The sequence below is a fragment of the Homo sapiens genome, chromosome 16 (assembly GCF_000001405.40).
Source record: "Homo sapiens chromosome 16, GRCh38.p14 Primary Assembly".
NCBI lineage: Eukaryota > Metazoa > Chordata > Mammalia > Primates > Hominidae > Homo > Homo sapiens.
The window spans coordinates 16,296,019-16,311,630 of NC_000016.10; the positions used below are offsets into that span (position 1 = coordinate 16,296,019).

Sequence of the window (15,612 nt, forward strand, 5' to 3'; positions counted from 1 at the left end):
TATTGACGGTATAAAGGTTAAGAGCTTGCGAAAGATACAATTGTCAGTACACTCCTTCCAGTTCCGGAGGCCGCCAGTAAGTGGCAGTCTTTCCCTGTCGCTGGCTGCAGGTCACCCTTGGCCTCGGTGGAACTTGTGTGGGTCATTCTCAGTCCATTTGAAAGTTGGGCCTGTTCGGTTGTGTATAATTTTCTGTTCATCATTTTTCTGGCAATCTCAGGACAGAAGTCCTCTGATCCTCCTGTGAGAAGTAAACATTAATGTTATTAGATTCTTTTTTTTTTTTTTTGAGTTTCGCTCTTGTGGCCCAGGCTGGAGTGCAGTGGCGTGATCTCGGCTCACTGCAACCTCTGCCTCCCGGTTTCAAGCGATTTCCTGCCTCAGCCTCCCGAGTAGCTGGGATTACAGGTGCCCACCACCACGCTCGCCTAATTTTTTGTATTTTTAGTAGATACGGGGTTTCACCATGTTGTCCAGGCTGGTCTTGAACTCCCTACCTCAGGTGATTCATCAACCTTGGCCTCCCAAAGTGCTGGGATTACAGGCGTGAGCCACCGCACCCGGGCTGTTATTAGACTTGGAATGGGACAAAAGTCATATGAGACAGACTTGTTTGCTGAGGTATTTAAAAAACAAAATGGTCTAAGATGGCAGATTCTTGGGGAACTCTGCTCTGTGCACATTTCTGCCTATTAAAGTGGCCGTAAAAACAACCATAAATCCTTGATGAGGACACCTCAGGAGCTTTAGGACGGTGCCATTCTTTTTTAATTAAAAGCTTTTTATTTGATTTGATTTTTCTGTAGAGACAGGGTCTCGGCTATGTTGACCAGGCTGGTCTTGAACTCTTGGCCTTAAGTGATCCTTCTGCCTCAACCTCCCAAAGTGCTGAGATTATAGGCATGAGTCACCACACCTGGCCAGGGCAGTGCCATTCTAAGGCAACGGCTTCAACTCGGTCTTCTTTTCTGGGGTTACAGGAGATGGGAAGGGCCGAAGGTAGCATGAGAACGTGTGTGTGTGTGTGTTTGTGTGTGTGTGTGTGTGTTTGTGCATGTGTATGTGGAAGGACTGGTGAGATGGCTGGAGGAAGAGGCAGTCCTTCTGCTTAACTCTAATGGCCTAAATGTGAGAAACAAAGATTCAGGAAATAAGGAAAAAGCAAATGAGTGATTGCCTCTCTGGATCAAGCACACCAGCAGGCACAACCAGCCTTTCTTGAGCTACTGTGTGCCGGGCGCTGTGCCGTGCCCTTGCATGCATGTGGATGCTTCATGAGTTCATGAAGTAGGTATGCTTCCAGCCCCATTTTTCAGAGAAAGAAACTGAGGCTGAACAATCTTGCAGCTGTCAAGTGGCAGAGCAGGGGTTTGAACCCAGGTCCAAGAGTTCTTAACCACCATGTTTTCCTGCCCTTGATGTATGAAATGAGATGATGTAGTCACATGCCAGCTTGTCTAGGGATGACTCAGAGGTTTAGAGATGGATGTCACGTGGATGTTGTACAGGAGAGGCAGGTATAAGCTGTAGTAAAGTTAGGAAAGGCACAGTGACGTGGAGCACTGTGTGCAGTGGACGGGGTCATGGCTGGGGGTGAGAATGGTGGAGGACCTTCGATTATTTCATCAGCGTTGTTTCTGTAACCAAAGAGCTGCATGACCAAACCCTGAGATCTAGTTCCTTAATAGGAACAATTATTCGGCACGATTCCCTTTACTTAAAAGCAGGGGCCGTCCTAAGGGAGGAGTTGGAAAGAGTTTGGGGGATAAGGTTTGCTTGGTTGCCTTCTGTTTAGGCTGATGTTCAGTGGGGGTCAAAGGCTGTGTGTCCAGTCCCTGGCATGTGGCGGGTGTTTGTGGTACACAGCCAGCCTCAGGATGGCCCCCAGGGATGCACACTGCCTTTGTGTGTGGTCCCCTCCCACACTGAATCAGGCTGGCTCTGTGCGACCAGTGGGAAGTGGTGGAAGTGAGTGATGATGTGTGACTTCTCGGGCTAGGTCGTAACAGGCATTGCACTTTGGCTCTCGGGAAGCCAACTGCCTTGCGTGAGGGTGCTCAGGCAGCCTCGTGGGGAGGGGTGAGGCCCCTGGCCCCCAGCATGTACAGCTTGCCACCACGTGAGTGAGCCAGCTTGGAAGCGAATTTCCCCGCCCCGGTCAAGCCTTCTGGTGAGTGCAACTGCAGATGACATCTGACTTCCACCACTCAAGAGACCCCAGGTCAGTGCTGCCCAGCTGAGCTCTTCCCAGGTTCTTTATGTCCCCCGAAAATGAGCTGTTTTAAGTTTAGAAAACTTAAAAACACAGTGACAATGAAGCACAGATATGCATTACATACAGTCCCAAATCAGTAATGACTTCAAGCTGTGTCCTCTCTTTCCAAGAAAGACAAAGCAGAGAACAAAGTTCAACCTACAGTGTCTTCCCAAATTCTTGACCCACGGGATCTGTGAATATCTTATACGACTGAATTAAGCCTCTAAGTTTTGGGGTAACTCATGCAACATTAGGTAACTGGAATAGTGCTCAATAAATGTCTGTCACATGAATGGGCAGTGACCATGGATGCATTTCTAGTTGTGTATTAGTTAAGGCTCTCTTGGTTTCAAGTAACAGAAATCCAACTCCAACTAGCTTGAGCAAAATGGGGCATTCCTCTGGTCAAGTAACGGAGAAATCCAAGAGTCTCTGGCTTCATGCATAGCGGGACCCAGTCTCAATTTCCACCTCCTGGCTCTGCTTCCCTTGATGCCAACTTTCAGGAATCAGCTTTCTGAAAGACCACTCTGCTAGAAACAGACAGGCCCATCCTTTCAACCAGGTCCAGGACTGTTTGCTCAGTCACTGCTCTCAGAGGCAGGGGCAGAGGCAGATGCCGGGCACACATCCACAGAAGTGGAGATGGCAGGAAACTGAGAGTGGAGTGCTGGAAAGCTGGCTTTTGCCTATGGGTTCCGCTTCTGACATCATCCGGCAATGTCAGGCTTTACATTGCCCCCATCTGCAGACCCAGCAGAAGGACAGCTTCCATCCCACCACATCAATATGCCAGTCCTGGGGCGGGGGAAGGACTTATGGGCAACCTTTGCAGAATCACTGGGGCCTGGCCGCACATGAGCCATGCCCACGCTCATGTGACAGGCGGCCCCTGTGCCTGGGGTGCTGTATTACCCAGAGGAATAAGTGATCCTGGGTGGGCAAAAGCAACAGAAGAGAAGTCAGCTCCACTTCCTTCCAAAACTTGAGAAGGCCTGGTCAAAATCACCCTCCAGGCCCGGTGTGGTGGCTCATGCCTGTAATCCCAGCACTTTGGGAGGTTGAGATGGGCAGATCATGAGGTCAAGAGATCGAGACCATCCTGGCCAATATGGTGAAACCCCGTCTCTACTAAAACTACAAAAATTAGCTAGGTGTGGTGGTGGGCGCCTGTAGTCCCAGCCACTCGATAGGCTGACAGGAGAATCACTTGATCCAGGGAGTCGGAGGTTGCAGTGAGCCGAGATCGCACCATTGCACTCTAGCCTGGCGACAGAGTGAGACTAAAAAAAAAAAAAAAGAAAAAAGAAAAAAATCAGCCTCCATTTTTGGCTTTCTCTTTCATTAGAAAAATGAACCTGACTTTATGACCATGACAATGAAATGCCTAGAGAAGGGAGCACTCATTTTCCAGTGGGCCTACTGTGTGCTGGGGTGGCGAGACTCTTCCTGCCCTGGAACTTGGTGAGGTCAGGAGGGAAGATATTATATGACTGCCTTCCTCTGTACTTTTTCAGTGGGGGCAGGTGTTTATGCTTGATGATGCAATGGTGAGATCTTGGTTGGAATATGAACTTTTCTTTCTTTTTTTTTTTTTAGATGGGTTCTTGTTCTGTTCCCCAGGCTGGAGTACAATGGCACCATCACAGCTCACTGCAGCCTTGATCTCCCAGGGTCAAGGGATCATCGTGCCTCAGCCTGCTGAGTAGCTGGGACTACAGGAGTGCACCACCACACCTGGCTAATTTTTTTAAAAAAAATCTTTGTAGAGATGAGCTCTCACTAGGTTGCCCAGGCTGGTCTTGAACTCCTGAGCTCAAGCAATCCTCCCACCTTGGGCTCCCTAAGTGTTGGGATTACAGGCAAGAGTCACCACGCCCAGCCAGGATCACAGACGTTTAAATTACACTCCTTCTGCTGTGCCTTACAGCAGTAGAAGGGGTGAAATTTAAACGTCTGTGATCCTGGGGTTGTTGAAGATGCCACCCATCTACATATTCTTTCAGATGCACAATATTTCACTGTGTGAATGAAACAGCAGCCCTTCTTACGTGTGCTTTTTGGAATTTGAAGATTTTGTAAGATAAGATGAATGCATTGGAACAAGTGATCCTCAATTCTGTGCAGTCTGTGCCTCCGGAGACTGGCGGCTGCCCCTCCCTGTCTAGTCTTGCAAGAGAGGCAGCTGGCAAGAGGACAGAAGCCGGCAGCTGCTGCGTTTTCATCCTGTTTCTGCTCTTGGAGCTGAGGGGGAGAGGTGGCTAGCAGCCACCCAGTGATCAAACTTGCAGCCTGCCTCTCTTGCTTCCTTTTCACAGACTGGAGTGTGCCTGGGTATGGAGAAAGAACATTTTGCTTCTTGCCTCTCAGAGTTTCAAGAACGCCTCACCTGAGTGGCATGCATTCATGGAATGAGTAATTATTACAGTGGAGAACTCCTCACTGTGAATTAATTACACAGATGATATTCAAGACTTAGACTGGGCTAGTGCAGGGGTTAGCAAACTATGGCCCACTGTTCTTGTTTTATAAATAAAGTGTTATGAGCACACAGCCATGCCCATTCATTTGCAGATTATGGCTGCTTTTGCCTGACAGTGCCAGATGTAAGTAGTTGTGGCAAAGACCAGGTAGCCTAAAAAGCCTAAAATACTTGCTATCTGGGTCTTTACAGAAGACATTTTGTTGTTGTTGTTGTTGTTTTTGAGATGGGGTCTTTCTCTGTCACCCAGGCTGGAGTGCAGTGGTGTGATCTCAGCTCACTGCAACCTCCGCCTCTTGGGTTCAAATGATTATCGTGCCTCAGCCTCCCTAGTAGCTGGGATTATAGGCGCCTGCCACCAAGCCTGGCTAATTTTTGCATTTTTAGTAGAAACAGGGCTTTACCATGTTGGCCAGGCTGGTCTCAAACCCCGACCTCAGATGATCTGCCTGCCTCAGCCTCCCAAAGTGCTGGGATTACAGGTGTGAGCCACTGCGCCTGGCCTAGAAAATGTTTTCTAACCTGTTGTCTAGTGGGTGCTTTGTAAAGTTTAGTTTTAGGGGGAGCATCATTAATTCATTCAACAAGTATTAACTGAGCATCTCCCCTGTGCTGGGTGCTGCTTGGCATACTGGGGGTTTAGTGGTGTGAGAGAGACCGAGCCTCAGCTCTTAGGAGCACAGTGCTGATGGAGGACGAAAGGTAAACACACACATTAGAAGTTGTTGGATAATGCCAGGCGTTACGAAGAAAAGAAGCAGAACAAGGCAATGTGACAGAGGATGATTGGTATCATGGAAGGTCTCTCTGAGGAGGCAGCATCTGAGCTGAGACCTGAGGAGGGGAAGGGCCAGTTATGCAAAGATCTGGGGGAAGAGCTGCCCAGGCAGAGGGGACCATAATTGCAAAGGCCCCCAGGAGGAAATGAGCTCCCTGAGTTTCAGGAATAGCAAAGAGGCCAGGGTGGCCAGAGTCAAGTGATTGAGAGGAAGAGATGAGAACGATGGCAGGGACCGGGTCATGTGGGTGCCCTGGAAAGGAGTTTAGATTTTATTCTAATGGCAACAGAAGGCATTGGAGGGTTTAAGTAGGGAAAGGGGAGTGATCTGATGTATGTTTTTAAACAATTGCTTCTTTAAATTTTGAGGAGATTGGATTATTGGGAAGCAAGAATGAATTTAGGGAGAGAAGCAAAGAGGACGTTGTGTTGGTTTAGGCAAAAGACAGCAATGGCTTGGATTGGGGTGATGGAAGTAACAGTGGCAGGAAGTGGTGAGCTTGGGGCTATGCTTCAGAGATAGAGCAGAAAGGTCTTGCTGATGTATTTAATACAGGAGGTGAGGGAAGGGAGGAATCAACGATAAGTGAATCGTTTGTTTCTAGCTGAACCACTGAAATGTGTAGGTAAATTGAGACTTCTGTTTTGGCCATCGTGAGTTTGAGATGCTTATCAGACACCCGAGTCTGCAGCCTGGGTGAGAAATCACGGCTGGAGATGAGACGTGGTGAGCTGGGAGTGTTTTTGGATGACAGATGAGGCCACGGGATTGAATAATAGGTATCCTTATGAAGACTGAGAAAAGGAGAGGGCTGGGGGCCAAGCCCTGGGACAGTGCAACCTTCAGAGGATGGGCGAGGAGGGCCCTGCCCAAGAGACAGAGAGGAAGTGGCCCGTGAGGTAGGGGGAAGTCCAGGAGAGGACAGTGTGGTGAATACCTAATGCTTTACTCATTCACTGGTGAATGAATGGATGGATGGATGGATGGATGGATGGATGGATGAATGCATGAATATTCCTTAATAATATGGTTGGCCATGGTCCATCCATATGACTCCTACGGACACCATGTTACCATTTCACACTCGTCTTCTATTTAGGAGAAATCAGACGAAACTGCCATCTTATATATAGGTCAAAAATGGTTTCCATAACCACCCACCTCACATGCTTACTGAAATTCATTAAGTAATAGATGGGGTGGGGGGCGGGAGGTTTACAGGTCGGCAAAGGAGGCAAGGCTAGAGTGATCCATGTGGCAGTGGATTAGAGTGGCAGGCATCAGTATGAACACATGTTTAGCTCAATATAGATACAGATGGCTACATAGAGAAATATTTATGGATATGTGCATATACACAAATTAGTAAGACACACATTACTAATCCTGGCTGTCAGCGAAGAGAGCCTAGAAGCAAGGATACCCCAGTAGCAACAAACCTCTGGTGCCCAGGTCTCTGTTCTCCAATAAACACCATTCTCCAGTAAAAGGAACCAGGCTTCTTGAACAAATGTCGATCCTAGGACCGAGGGAGGAAATAGATAAGAAGAACCTGAAGCATCTTGTAGGGTCACAGGGTGAGGAGGCGCTAAATGAAACAAAATGAAACTGCTGCAGTGATGGGGCATCTCAGAGGGACACAGGAGCCAGTGGAAAAGCTCCCAGGGGTCAAAGCCAGAACAATTTGAGCCCCAAAAAAGTACTATTGGATTAGAATTCAAAGAATAAATACCCATGATTCCATACTGCTATAAATGATCAGATAAGAGAGAAGAGACAAATCTCCCAGGCAGAAGAATTCCAGATTATTTATTTATTTTTATTTAATTTTTTTTTTTTACACAGGGTCTTGCTCTGTTGCCCAGGTTGGAGTGCAGTGATGTAATCTTGGCTTACTGCAACCTCCACCTCCCAGGTTCAAGCGATTCTTGTGCCTCAGCCTCCCGAGTAGCTGGGATCACAGGCATGCGCTGCCACACTCGGCTAATTTTTTGTATTTTTAGTAGAGGCGGGGTTTCACCATGTTGACCAGGTTGGTCTCAAACTCCTGACCTCAAGTGATCACCCTCCTCGGCCTCCCATTCAAGTGCTGGGATGACAGGTGTGAGCCACCGTGCCCGGCCCCAGGTAATTTATATAGCTATTCCATCGTCAAGGAGGTGGAGCGGACTTCCCACATCCTAAGTGTGGGCTGTGCATAGTGACTCTCTTCCAAAGAGTACAGTGTGAAAAGAGAGGAGAGAGTAACTTTACAGTGGAGAACACGGACAGACTACCTCAGCCAGGTGATCAAAGTCAACTTCAATAGCGGCAAGTCATCTTGAGAGAATGCGTGCCTGATACAGAGTGCTGAGAATGATTCTTAAGCTCTGTGGTCCTCCTCCTCAAAACACACACAAGCCAAGACTAAGGATGAGAAGCATCTGCCAAATCCCAGTTGAGGAACATTCTACAAAATACCTGGCCAGCACTCCTCAAAATGCTCCATGTGGTATCCTGGAACAGAAAAAGGACATTAAGCAAAAACTAAGGCAATCAGAATCAACTATGGACTTTAGGTGGCCAGGCACGGTGGCTCGCGCCTGTAACCCTAGCACTTTGTGAGGCCGAGGCCGGCGGATGGGTTGAGCCCAGGAGTTCAAGACCAGCCTGGGCGACATGGCGAAACCCCATCTCTACAAAAAATACAAAAAATTAGCCAGGCTTGTGGTGTGCACCTGTAGTCCTAGCTACTCGGGAGGCTGAGATGGGAGGATCACTTGAGTCCGGGAAGTCAAGGCTGCAAGTGACCCGTGATTGTGCCACTGTATACCAGCATGGGCAATGAGAGTGAGACCCTGTCTCAACAAACAAACAACAAACAAACAAACAAAAACAAATTCTCTGGGGATGGTAGCAGGCACCTGTATTTCCAGCTACTTGGGAGGCTGAGATGGAGGATCGCTTGAGCCAGGGGAGGTGGAGGGTTGAGGCTGCCATGAACTATGATCACACCACCACACTCCAGCCTAGGTGACGAGCAAGACCCTGTCCCCACCCCCCTAAAAAAAGTATGGACTTTAGTTCATAATGCATCAAGCTATGGGGTACATGGAAACTCTCTGTACTGCTTTCACCATTTTTCTAAAACTGTTCTAAAATAAAAAATTTACTTAAACATTTATTTAAAAAAAAAAACAAACCATTTGAGTACCAACAGTGTCATATGCTCAACTTAGCACATCTTTTTCCTGGTTTGGTTTGTGGGCGTGAATGTGTACTGAGCCATCTAAACCTTGGTTGCCCGACCTTCACCGTAGCCACTGACCCAGGTTAACAGACAAAAGGCCCAGGTTAAGGTTATGCCCAGTGGCCATAAAATAGCCCAGCATCCAGACTGCACTCCTTGATGTACCCAAAAAAGCCAAGGAATAGGACGGATGGGCGGGGAGTGGGGGGCAAACTACTGCCCATTGCCCAACTCTGGCCAGCTGTCTGTTTTATAAATAAAGTTTTATTGGAACACAGTCACACCCATTCATTTATTATCATCTATGGCTACATTTGCATGACAATGGCAGTGTTGAGTAGTTGCACCAGAGATCGTGTGGCCCACAAAATATTTATTATCTAGCACTTTACAGAAAAAGCTTGTCAACCTCCAGGACAGTGGCCACAAGTTCTGCCATCATCTCATCCCTTAGCAAGAAGGGAAAGGAATGCCCATTAAGGCACAAATTGTTTTCTGTTGTTGTTTGTTTGTTTGTTTGTTTTTGAGACGGAGTTTCAGTCTTGTCGCCCAGGCTGGAGTGCAATGGCGTGATCTTGGCTCACTGCAACCTCCGCCTCCCAGGTTCAAGCGATTCTCCTGCCTCAACCTCCCGAGTAGCTAGGATTACAGGCGCCAGCCACCACATCCAGCAAATTTTTGTATTTTTAGTAGCGACGGGGTTTCACTATGTTGACCAGGCTGGTCTCGAACTCCTGACCGCAGGTGATCCACCTGCTTTGGCCTCCCAAAGCGCTGGGATTACAGGTGTGAGCCACCGTGCCTGGCCACAAGGTGGTCTTTTAACAACAGAGCACACAGCTGGACAAAGCCCAACGCTCTCTTCTTTGGGGCCGAGGTGGGTCATTAATATTGAACATTTACAATGTACTTGCTCCAGGTGATTCAGTTTAATTTCTGCCGTCTCTTGTAACAGGGCTCCCACGTGCACGGGTTGGGGCCGTGTGTCTGCCTCTGCTTTCTGAGGCCCCACAGCGTATTGATTCTGCGAAACGTACGTTTCTTTGAAAACAGCGTCTCTTGACATGACAGGAGATCACACATCGCTTGTTTTCTGTCCCTTTCATTGCCCTCTGAACATGATAAAATCATGACCTAGTGTCACCGAGGGACCTCAGCATCTCTTGGAAAGAAGGACTTGCCTTCTTTTTTATCTTTGTCAAGCCAGTGAGGCCAAGTAGAAAATTTTTAGCAGCTTTGGAGCCAGACAGATCGGAGTGCGAGTTCTGCCCGTTATTGACTGGACCGTGTGACCCTGGGAGAGCCGCCTAGTGTCTATGAGACGGAGGCTGTTGGGCAAGAAAATGGGGATGGTCCCAGCATTATGGGGCGGTTGTGAGAATTCAGTGCAATGATGCAGTGCTCCCAGAACAGCTGGTCTAGGGCTTGGCTCATGGGACTGTCCCTTCGCAGAGGCAGCGTGGACATTCCGCTGGTATCCACTGGTGTGGCTGTGCCTGTTTGGTCACCGTGTCTGTTCTGATTGGTCGGTGCTCCTGCATGTCAAGAGTTCAATGTTATGAAAATCATCCCTGCCTAGAGATGAATTCCCCCTTCCCCTGAGGTCTAGACTGGTATAGCTGCTTTTGGAGCCTCACCTGCTGAGAGCTCACAGCTGTCCTTCTCTAGAGAATCACCCTCAGATGGGAGCCACATTGCCTGGGATGGGATGCCATGCCCAGTAATGGCCCAGTGACTAACTGATACAGCAACGTGAATGGCTGGTCCCTGCCCCACGGTGGGGACGATCCTGTGGCGTGCTCTCTGCTGCTCGTGGGATAGGTCAAGGCGGGACTTTAAGGGACCACATTCTCACTCTGCTCTGTCCCCTTCTGCATCCTGTAGTCCTCACCTCCCTTCTCCTGAAAGCCCCTTTCAAAACAAAAACAAAAACCACATCCACCCAAGTCCCTGTCTCCAGCTCTGCCTCCAGGAAAGCCGGCGGAAGGCCGCCAGTCTCAGCTGTGACAGATACAGATATTTCTGCATTTCCAGGACTGAGGTCAATCCCTGGGGACCCAGTGAGGCGGTATCTGAAGGGCCATGGAGCTGGCTTGATGGGGTCTACAGGTAGGCAGGGACCTGGTGGGGATGTGACTCAAGGATTTTTATCAAATATCTTTATCCCCTGACAGATGCAAAAAAAAAAAAATGAGATCAGACTCCAGGGTTTCCTCCATGCCACACTGTGGCCCCATTGTTTGTTGTGCTATCAGCAGAAGTTGATTTTGCAAGGAATGTACACGTGTATGTGATGTTTGAATGCACCTATCTGTGTGTGCGTGCATTTGTGTGTGTGTGTGTGCATTCGCTTGTGTGTGTGTGTGTGTGTGTGTGTGTGTGTGTGTGTGTGTGTGTGTGCTGAGGATGTGAGCCCCACTTCCGGCCCAGTGCCCCTGCCCAGGCTGGCTCTGCCCTCCTGCTGCTCTGGGCCCCTCAGGCAGTGACTACCTGGTACATAGGGAAGGCATCAGCATCCCTTATTCATGGGGACTGTATACTGTCTCCACCATATTGGGCCTTTTGGCCTCTTGGACATGACTTGGCCTCTGCTGGCTTTAAGGGACTGCCAGAGATGCCATCTTCTCTGGGAAATGTTCTCAGCCTGGGCACAGCCCACTAACCACTGCCTGCTTGTCTGAGACTTCTCTGTCCAGGAAAACAGCCCAGCCTGACCAGAGATGGGCATAGAGCCATATTTTGGGAAAGACTGGTTGGGGGTCAACTTGGTTTCTGGAACCAGTTCTGATTTCAGTTGCAGGGGACAGTGAGCCAGTTACTGCCCACTGGCTGCATCCTAAGCCTTCCTAGAGGAGAGCTAGCCTCCTCCTAGGGTTGCCCAGGCTGGACCACTTCTGCCTGGGTGATGGGTTGGGAGAAAGACGTTAATATTTGGAGCAGTGTTATATTAGTCAGCCCTCCCATTTGCAAACATTAGAAAACCAGCTCAAATTAGTGATAAAAGAAAATCTCAGCTGAATTAAATTTAAAGTAGTTTAATTGAGCAATGAATGATTCGCGAATTGGGCAGACCCCAGAATCACAGCAGATTCATAGAGACTCCAGCGCAGCCACGTGGTGGAAGAAGATTTATGGACAAAAGAAGGGAAATGATGTACAGAAATCAGAAGTGAAGTACAGAATGGCTGGATTGTTACAAGTTGGCGTTTGCCTTATTTGAGTACAGTTTGAACACTCAGCAGCGTATGAGCGGTTGAACTACGGCCTCTGGGATTGGCCAAGACTCAGCTATTGTTACAGGCGCATACTCCTAAGTTAGGTTTTCAATCTTGTCTACCTATTAAGCTAGGTTGCAATTTGTCCACAAGGACTCAACTATAGAAGTACGAAGTCCCACTCAGGCCATATTTAGTTCACTTTAACACTAGCTTCGGCAACTGTCTCTCAGAGCCCAGGGCAGGGCAGGGATGCAACTGGGCTTCAGGAAACTTGAATTCATTGACTGTCTCTTCCCCATCTTAGATGCAGTGCTAAGGGCTTTTTAGTAATTTTCTCATTTGACTCTCAAAACAAACTGATGAGGAAACGGTCTGAGAGTAGTTAGGCAGCTTTTCAAGGTCACACAGATAGTAAATGTCATCACTGGGACTTGAACTCAGGTCTTTCTGACTCTCATGTCTGTGCAACATGTCATCTCAGCCACTGTTGACACTGTATATGTGGATTAGGGTTGGCTAAACTGCTGTAACAAATAGACCCAACTCGAATGGTGCATGTATGTACAATAGGGGTTTATTTCTTATGATATAGTTCACGGTGGTCCCAGGTGAATAAGGATGGGTAGGTCTGCATTTTTCATAATCATCTGGATTTCTGCTCAGGCTCCTAGAGTCTCTGCCACCTTCCCCATGTGGCTTCCAAGGCCACCTTGGAGACAGAGCTTGGTGGAGCACATGTGGTAGGATTTTTTTTGTTTTTTTGAGACGGAGTCTCACTGTATTGCCCAGTCTGGAGTGCAGTGGTGCAATCTCGGCTCACTGCAACCTCTGCCTCCCAGGTTCAAGCTATTCTCCTGTCTCAGCCTCCCTAGTAGCTGGGACTACAGGCACCTGCCACCACGCCTGGCTAATTTTTGTATTTTTAGTAGAAATGGGATTTCACCTTGTTGGTCAGGTTGGTCTCAAACTCCTGACCTCAGGTGATCCACCCACCTCGGCCTCCCAAAGTGCTGGGATTACAGGCATGAGCCACCACTCCCAGCCAGTTCTTTTTTTCTTTTTTCCATTTTTTTTTTTTCGAGACAGGGTCTTACTCTGTTGCCCAGGCTGGAGTGCAGTGGCACAATCACGGCTCAGCGCAGCCACTGCCTCCTGGGCTCACACGCTCCTCCGGCCTCAGCCTCTCGAGTACCTGGGACTACAAGTGTGAGCCAGTTTGGCTAATTTTGGCTAATTTTTGTAGAAACGGGGTCTCGCCATGTTGGCCAGGCTGGTCTCCAACTCCTGGGCTCAAGGGATCCACCTTCCTCCCCCTCTCAAAGTTCTGGGATTACCGGAGTGACCCACTGTGCCCTGCTGGCAAATTTCTTAAACTGTGCCTCAGTGACCTCATTTAATAAAGGGAATAATTGTAGCACACTTTTTCTAGAGCTGTGAAGATTCAATGGAATAAATAAGGCAATAAATGAATGGATGGGGAATGAAGGATGTGGGTTTCCTCCCTCTTGTCTTTCAATAAGCTCTCACCATCAACCTCCCATTGCCTGTTCTCTCTCTTCCCCCTCTCTCCCTCTGTCTCTCTCTTAGCCAGGAAACCTGGGGTAGGGAGGCTTGGAGCCAGCGGGTGCGTCGGGAGGCTGCGGGTACTGACTGGGGACGCGCACGGAGATTGCGGGAGAAGGATCCACGCCGCGGGAGAAGGATCCATGCCGCGGGAGAAGGATCAGAGTGGAGCCTGTGGCTGCTGCAGGAGGAGGAAGCCGCCGCCTGGCCCACACCACAGGAGAAGGGCGGAGCCAGATGGCACCCTGCCCACCGCTTCCCGCCCACGCACTTTAGCCTGCAGAGGGGCGGAGCGTGAAAAATACCTCGTGCGCCTCGGCCGACTCTACAGTGCGACGGGCGGAGCTTCCAGACGCTCCGCCCCACGTCGCATGCGCCCCGGGAAAGCGTGGGGCGGAGCTTCCGGAGGCCCCGCCCTGCTGCCGACCCTGTGGAGCGGAGGGTGAAGCCTCCGGATGCCAGTCCCTCATCGCTGGCCCGGTCGCGCTGTGGCGAAGGGGGCGGAGCCTGCACCCGCCCCGCCCCCCCTCGCCCCGTCCGCCCTGCGCCGCGCGGGGAGGAGGAGGAGGAGCCGCGGCGGGGCCCGCACTGCAGCGCCAACGTCCGAGCGGGCGGCCGAGCTCCCGGAGCGGCCTGGCCCCGAGCCCCGAGCGGGCGTCGCTCAGCAGCAGGTCGCGGCCGCAGCCCCATCCAGCCCCGCGCCCGCCATGCCGTCCGCCGGCCCCGCCTGAGCCGCGGCCTCCGCGCGCGGGCGGGCCTGGGGACGGCGGGGCCATGCGCGCGCTGCCCTAACGATGCCGCCCGCCGCGCCCGCCCGCCTGGCGCTGGCCCTGGGCCTGGGCCTGTGGCTCGGGGCGCTGGCGGGGGGCCCCGGGCGCGGCTGCGGGCCTTGCGAGCCCCCCTGCCTCTGCGGCCTAGCGCCCGGCGCCGCCTGCCGCGTCAACTGCTCGGGCCGCGGGCCGCGGGCTGCGGACGCTCGGTCCCGCGCTGCGCATCCCCGCGGACGCCACAGCGCTGTGAGTAGCGGGCCCAGCGGCACCCGGGAGAGGCCGCGGGACGGGCGGGCGTGGGCGCGTTCCCTGGCCCGGGACGGGAAGCAGGACGCGGGCCAGGACGCTCCCAGGGCGAGGCTCCGGCGCGGCACAGCGGCCCTGCTAAATAAGGAACGCCTGGAGCCGCGGTTGGCACGGCCCCGGGGAGCCGAAAAACCCCGGGTCTGGAGACAGACGTCCCCACCCGGGGGCTCTGCGGACGCCAGCGGGGGCGGGGCGCGGAGGCCGCGCTCAGCTGGGAGGACAAACAGTCGCTAATTGGAGAGGAATTGGGATTCGGCCTGGGGCTGCGGGGTACCCGGAGAGATGGGGATGGCTGTAGGGGGCTGCAGGGAAGAGTTCCAGGAGGTGTCTGGACAAGGATTTGATGGATGTGCAAGAATTGGGCTGATGCTTAGGAAGGGGCGATGAGGTGGGTCCAGAAGAAGGGGGGTGAACGGTGTGAGCAAAGACCGTGAGGCTGGAGGCTGGCCACGGGAGGTGTGAGGGGTAGGGGCAGGGTGGGAGGTGGGCTCGCGGGTGGGCTGGGGTCATGAAGGGCCTCAGGCGCTCTGCTATTGGGTTCCAAGGCTATCCTGAGAACAGGGGTGAGGGCGGATTGCCGTGGGGGGTTAAAGCCTTGTCATGTTCGCTTTCGGGAGATAAAAACAACAGGTGGCCTTTATGGAGACGCTGCCCAGAGCCAGGTCTGTGCCAGGCTCCTGTTGGGGGTCGTCATGCGGAATCCTGACTCTGACCATCCGAGGCATAGGGACCGTGGAGATTTGCATTTCACAGATGAGGAAACAGGTTTGGAGAGGTGACACGACCTGTCCCAGGCATCACAGCCAGGACAGGACCTGTCCCAGGCATCACAGCCGGGATGTGCATAGCAGGGGTTTGGAACTATGAGGTGCCCAGGACCCAGGGTTGGATTGAAAAGGGCGCAGGGGACTAAGATAAGCAGACAGTTGTCCCCAGCGCTGGGGAGAGTCTTGGGACCAGTCTGATGCCTTGTATTTCCCAGGCTCCAGGCTCCTCGCCGGGACAGTG

General features: G+C 51.3%; 1 long non-coding RNA gene, 3 other non-coding genes and 2 pseudogenes across 9 annotated transcripts in view; 5 read left to right on the forward strand and 1 right to left on the reverse strand.

Annotated features, from left to right (window-relative positions):
* LOC105371099 (uncharacterized) overlaps nt 1-15,612 on the reverse strand; it is a 16,150-nt gene continuing 538 nt past the window's right edge. Inside the window, exons 2-4 of one of the 2 annotated variants that reach the window (XR_933137.4) lie at nt 7,795-8,014; nt 6,958-7,037; nt 1-241 (exon numbers count right to left, since the gene is read on the reverse strand). This is a non-coding gene — a long non-coding RNA (uncharacterized LOC105371099). The remainder of the gene's footprint in view (nt 242-6,957; nt 7,038-7,794; nt 8,015-15,612) is intronic. The other variant, XR_001752343.3, reaches the window with a different exon arrangement.
* MIR3179-2 (microRNA 3179-2) lies at nt 4,141-4,224 on the forward strand. The gene has a single exon (NR_036143.1). It is a non-coding gene; the product is annotated as a microRNA 3179-2 (primary transcript).
* On the forward strand, nt 10,352-10,416 carry MIR3670-2 (microRNA 3670-2). Its single transcript, NR_049832.1, has one exon. It is a non-coding gene; the product is annotated as a microRNA 3670-2 (primary transcript).
* MIR3180-2 (microRNA 3180-2) lies at nt 13,861-13,948 on the forward strand. The gene has a single exon (NR_036142.1). It is a non-coding gene; the product is annotated as a microRNA 3180-2 (primary transcript).
* The window catches only part of LOC131696449 (PKD1P1-NPIPA5L readthrough), a 40,475-nt pseudogene continuing 38,978 nt past the window's right edge, over nt 14,116-15,612 (forward strand). For all 3 annotated transcript variants that reach the window (NR_172901.1, NR_172900.1, NR_036447.2), the window contains exon 1: nt 14,116-14,544. The product of NR_172901.1 is annotated as a PKD1P1-NPIPA5L readthrough, transcript variant 3 (long non-coding RNA). The remainder of the gene's footprint in view (nt 14,545-15,612) is intronic.
* Nucleotides 14,116-15,612, forward strand: part of PKD1P1 (polycystin 1, transient receptor potential channel interacting pseudogene 1) — a 22,344-nt pseudogene continuing 20,847 nt past the window's right edge. Inside the window, exon 1 of the transcript NR_187118.1 lies at nt 14,116-14,544. The product of NR_187118.1 is annotated as a polycystin 1, transient receptor potential channel interacting pseudogene 1 (transcript). The remainder of the gene's footprint in view (nt 14,545-15,612) is intronic.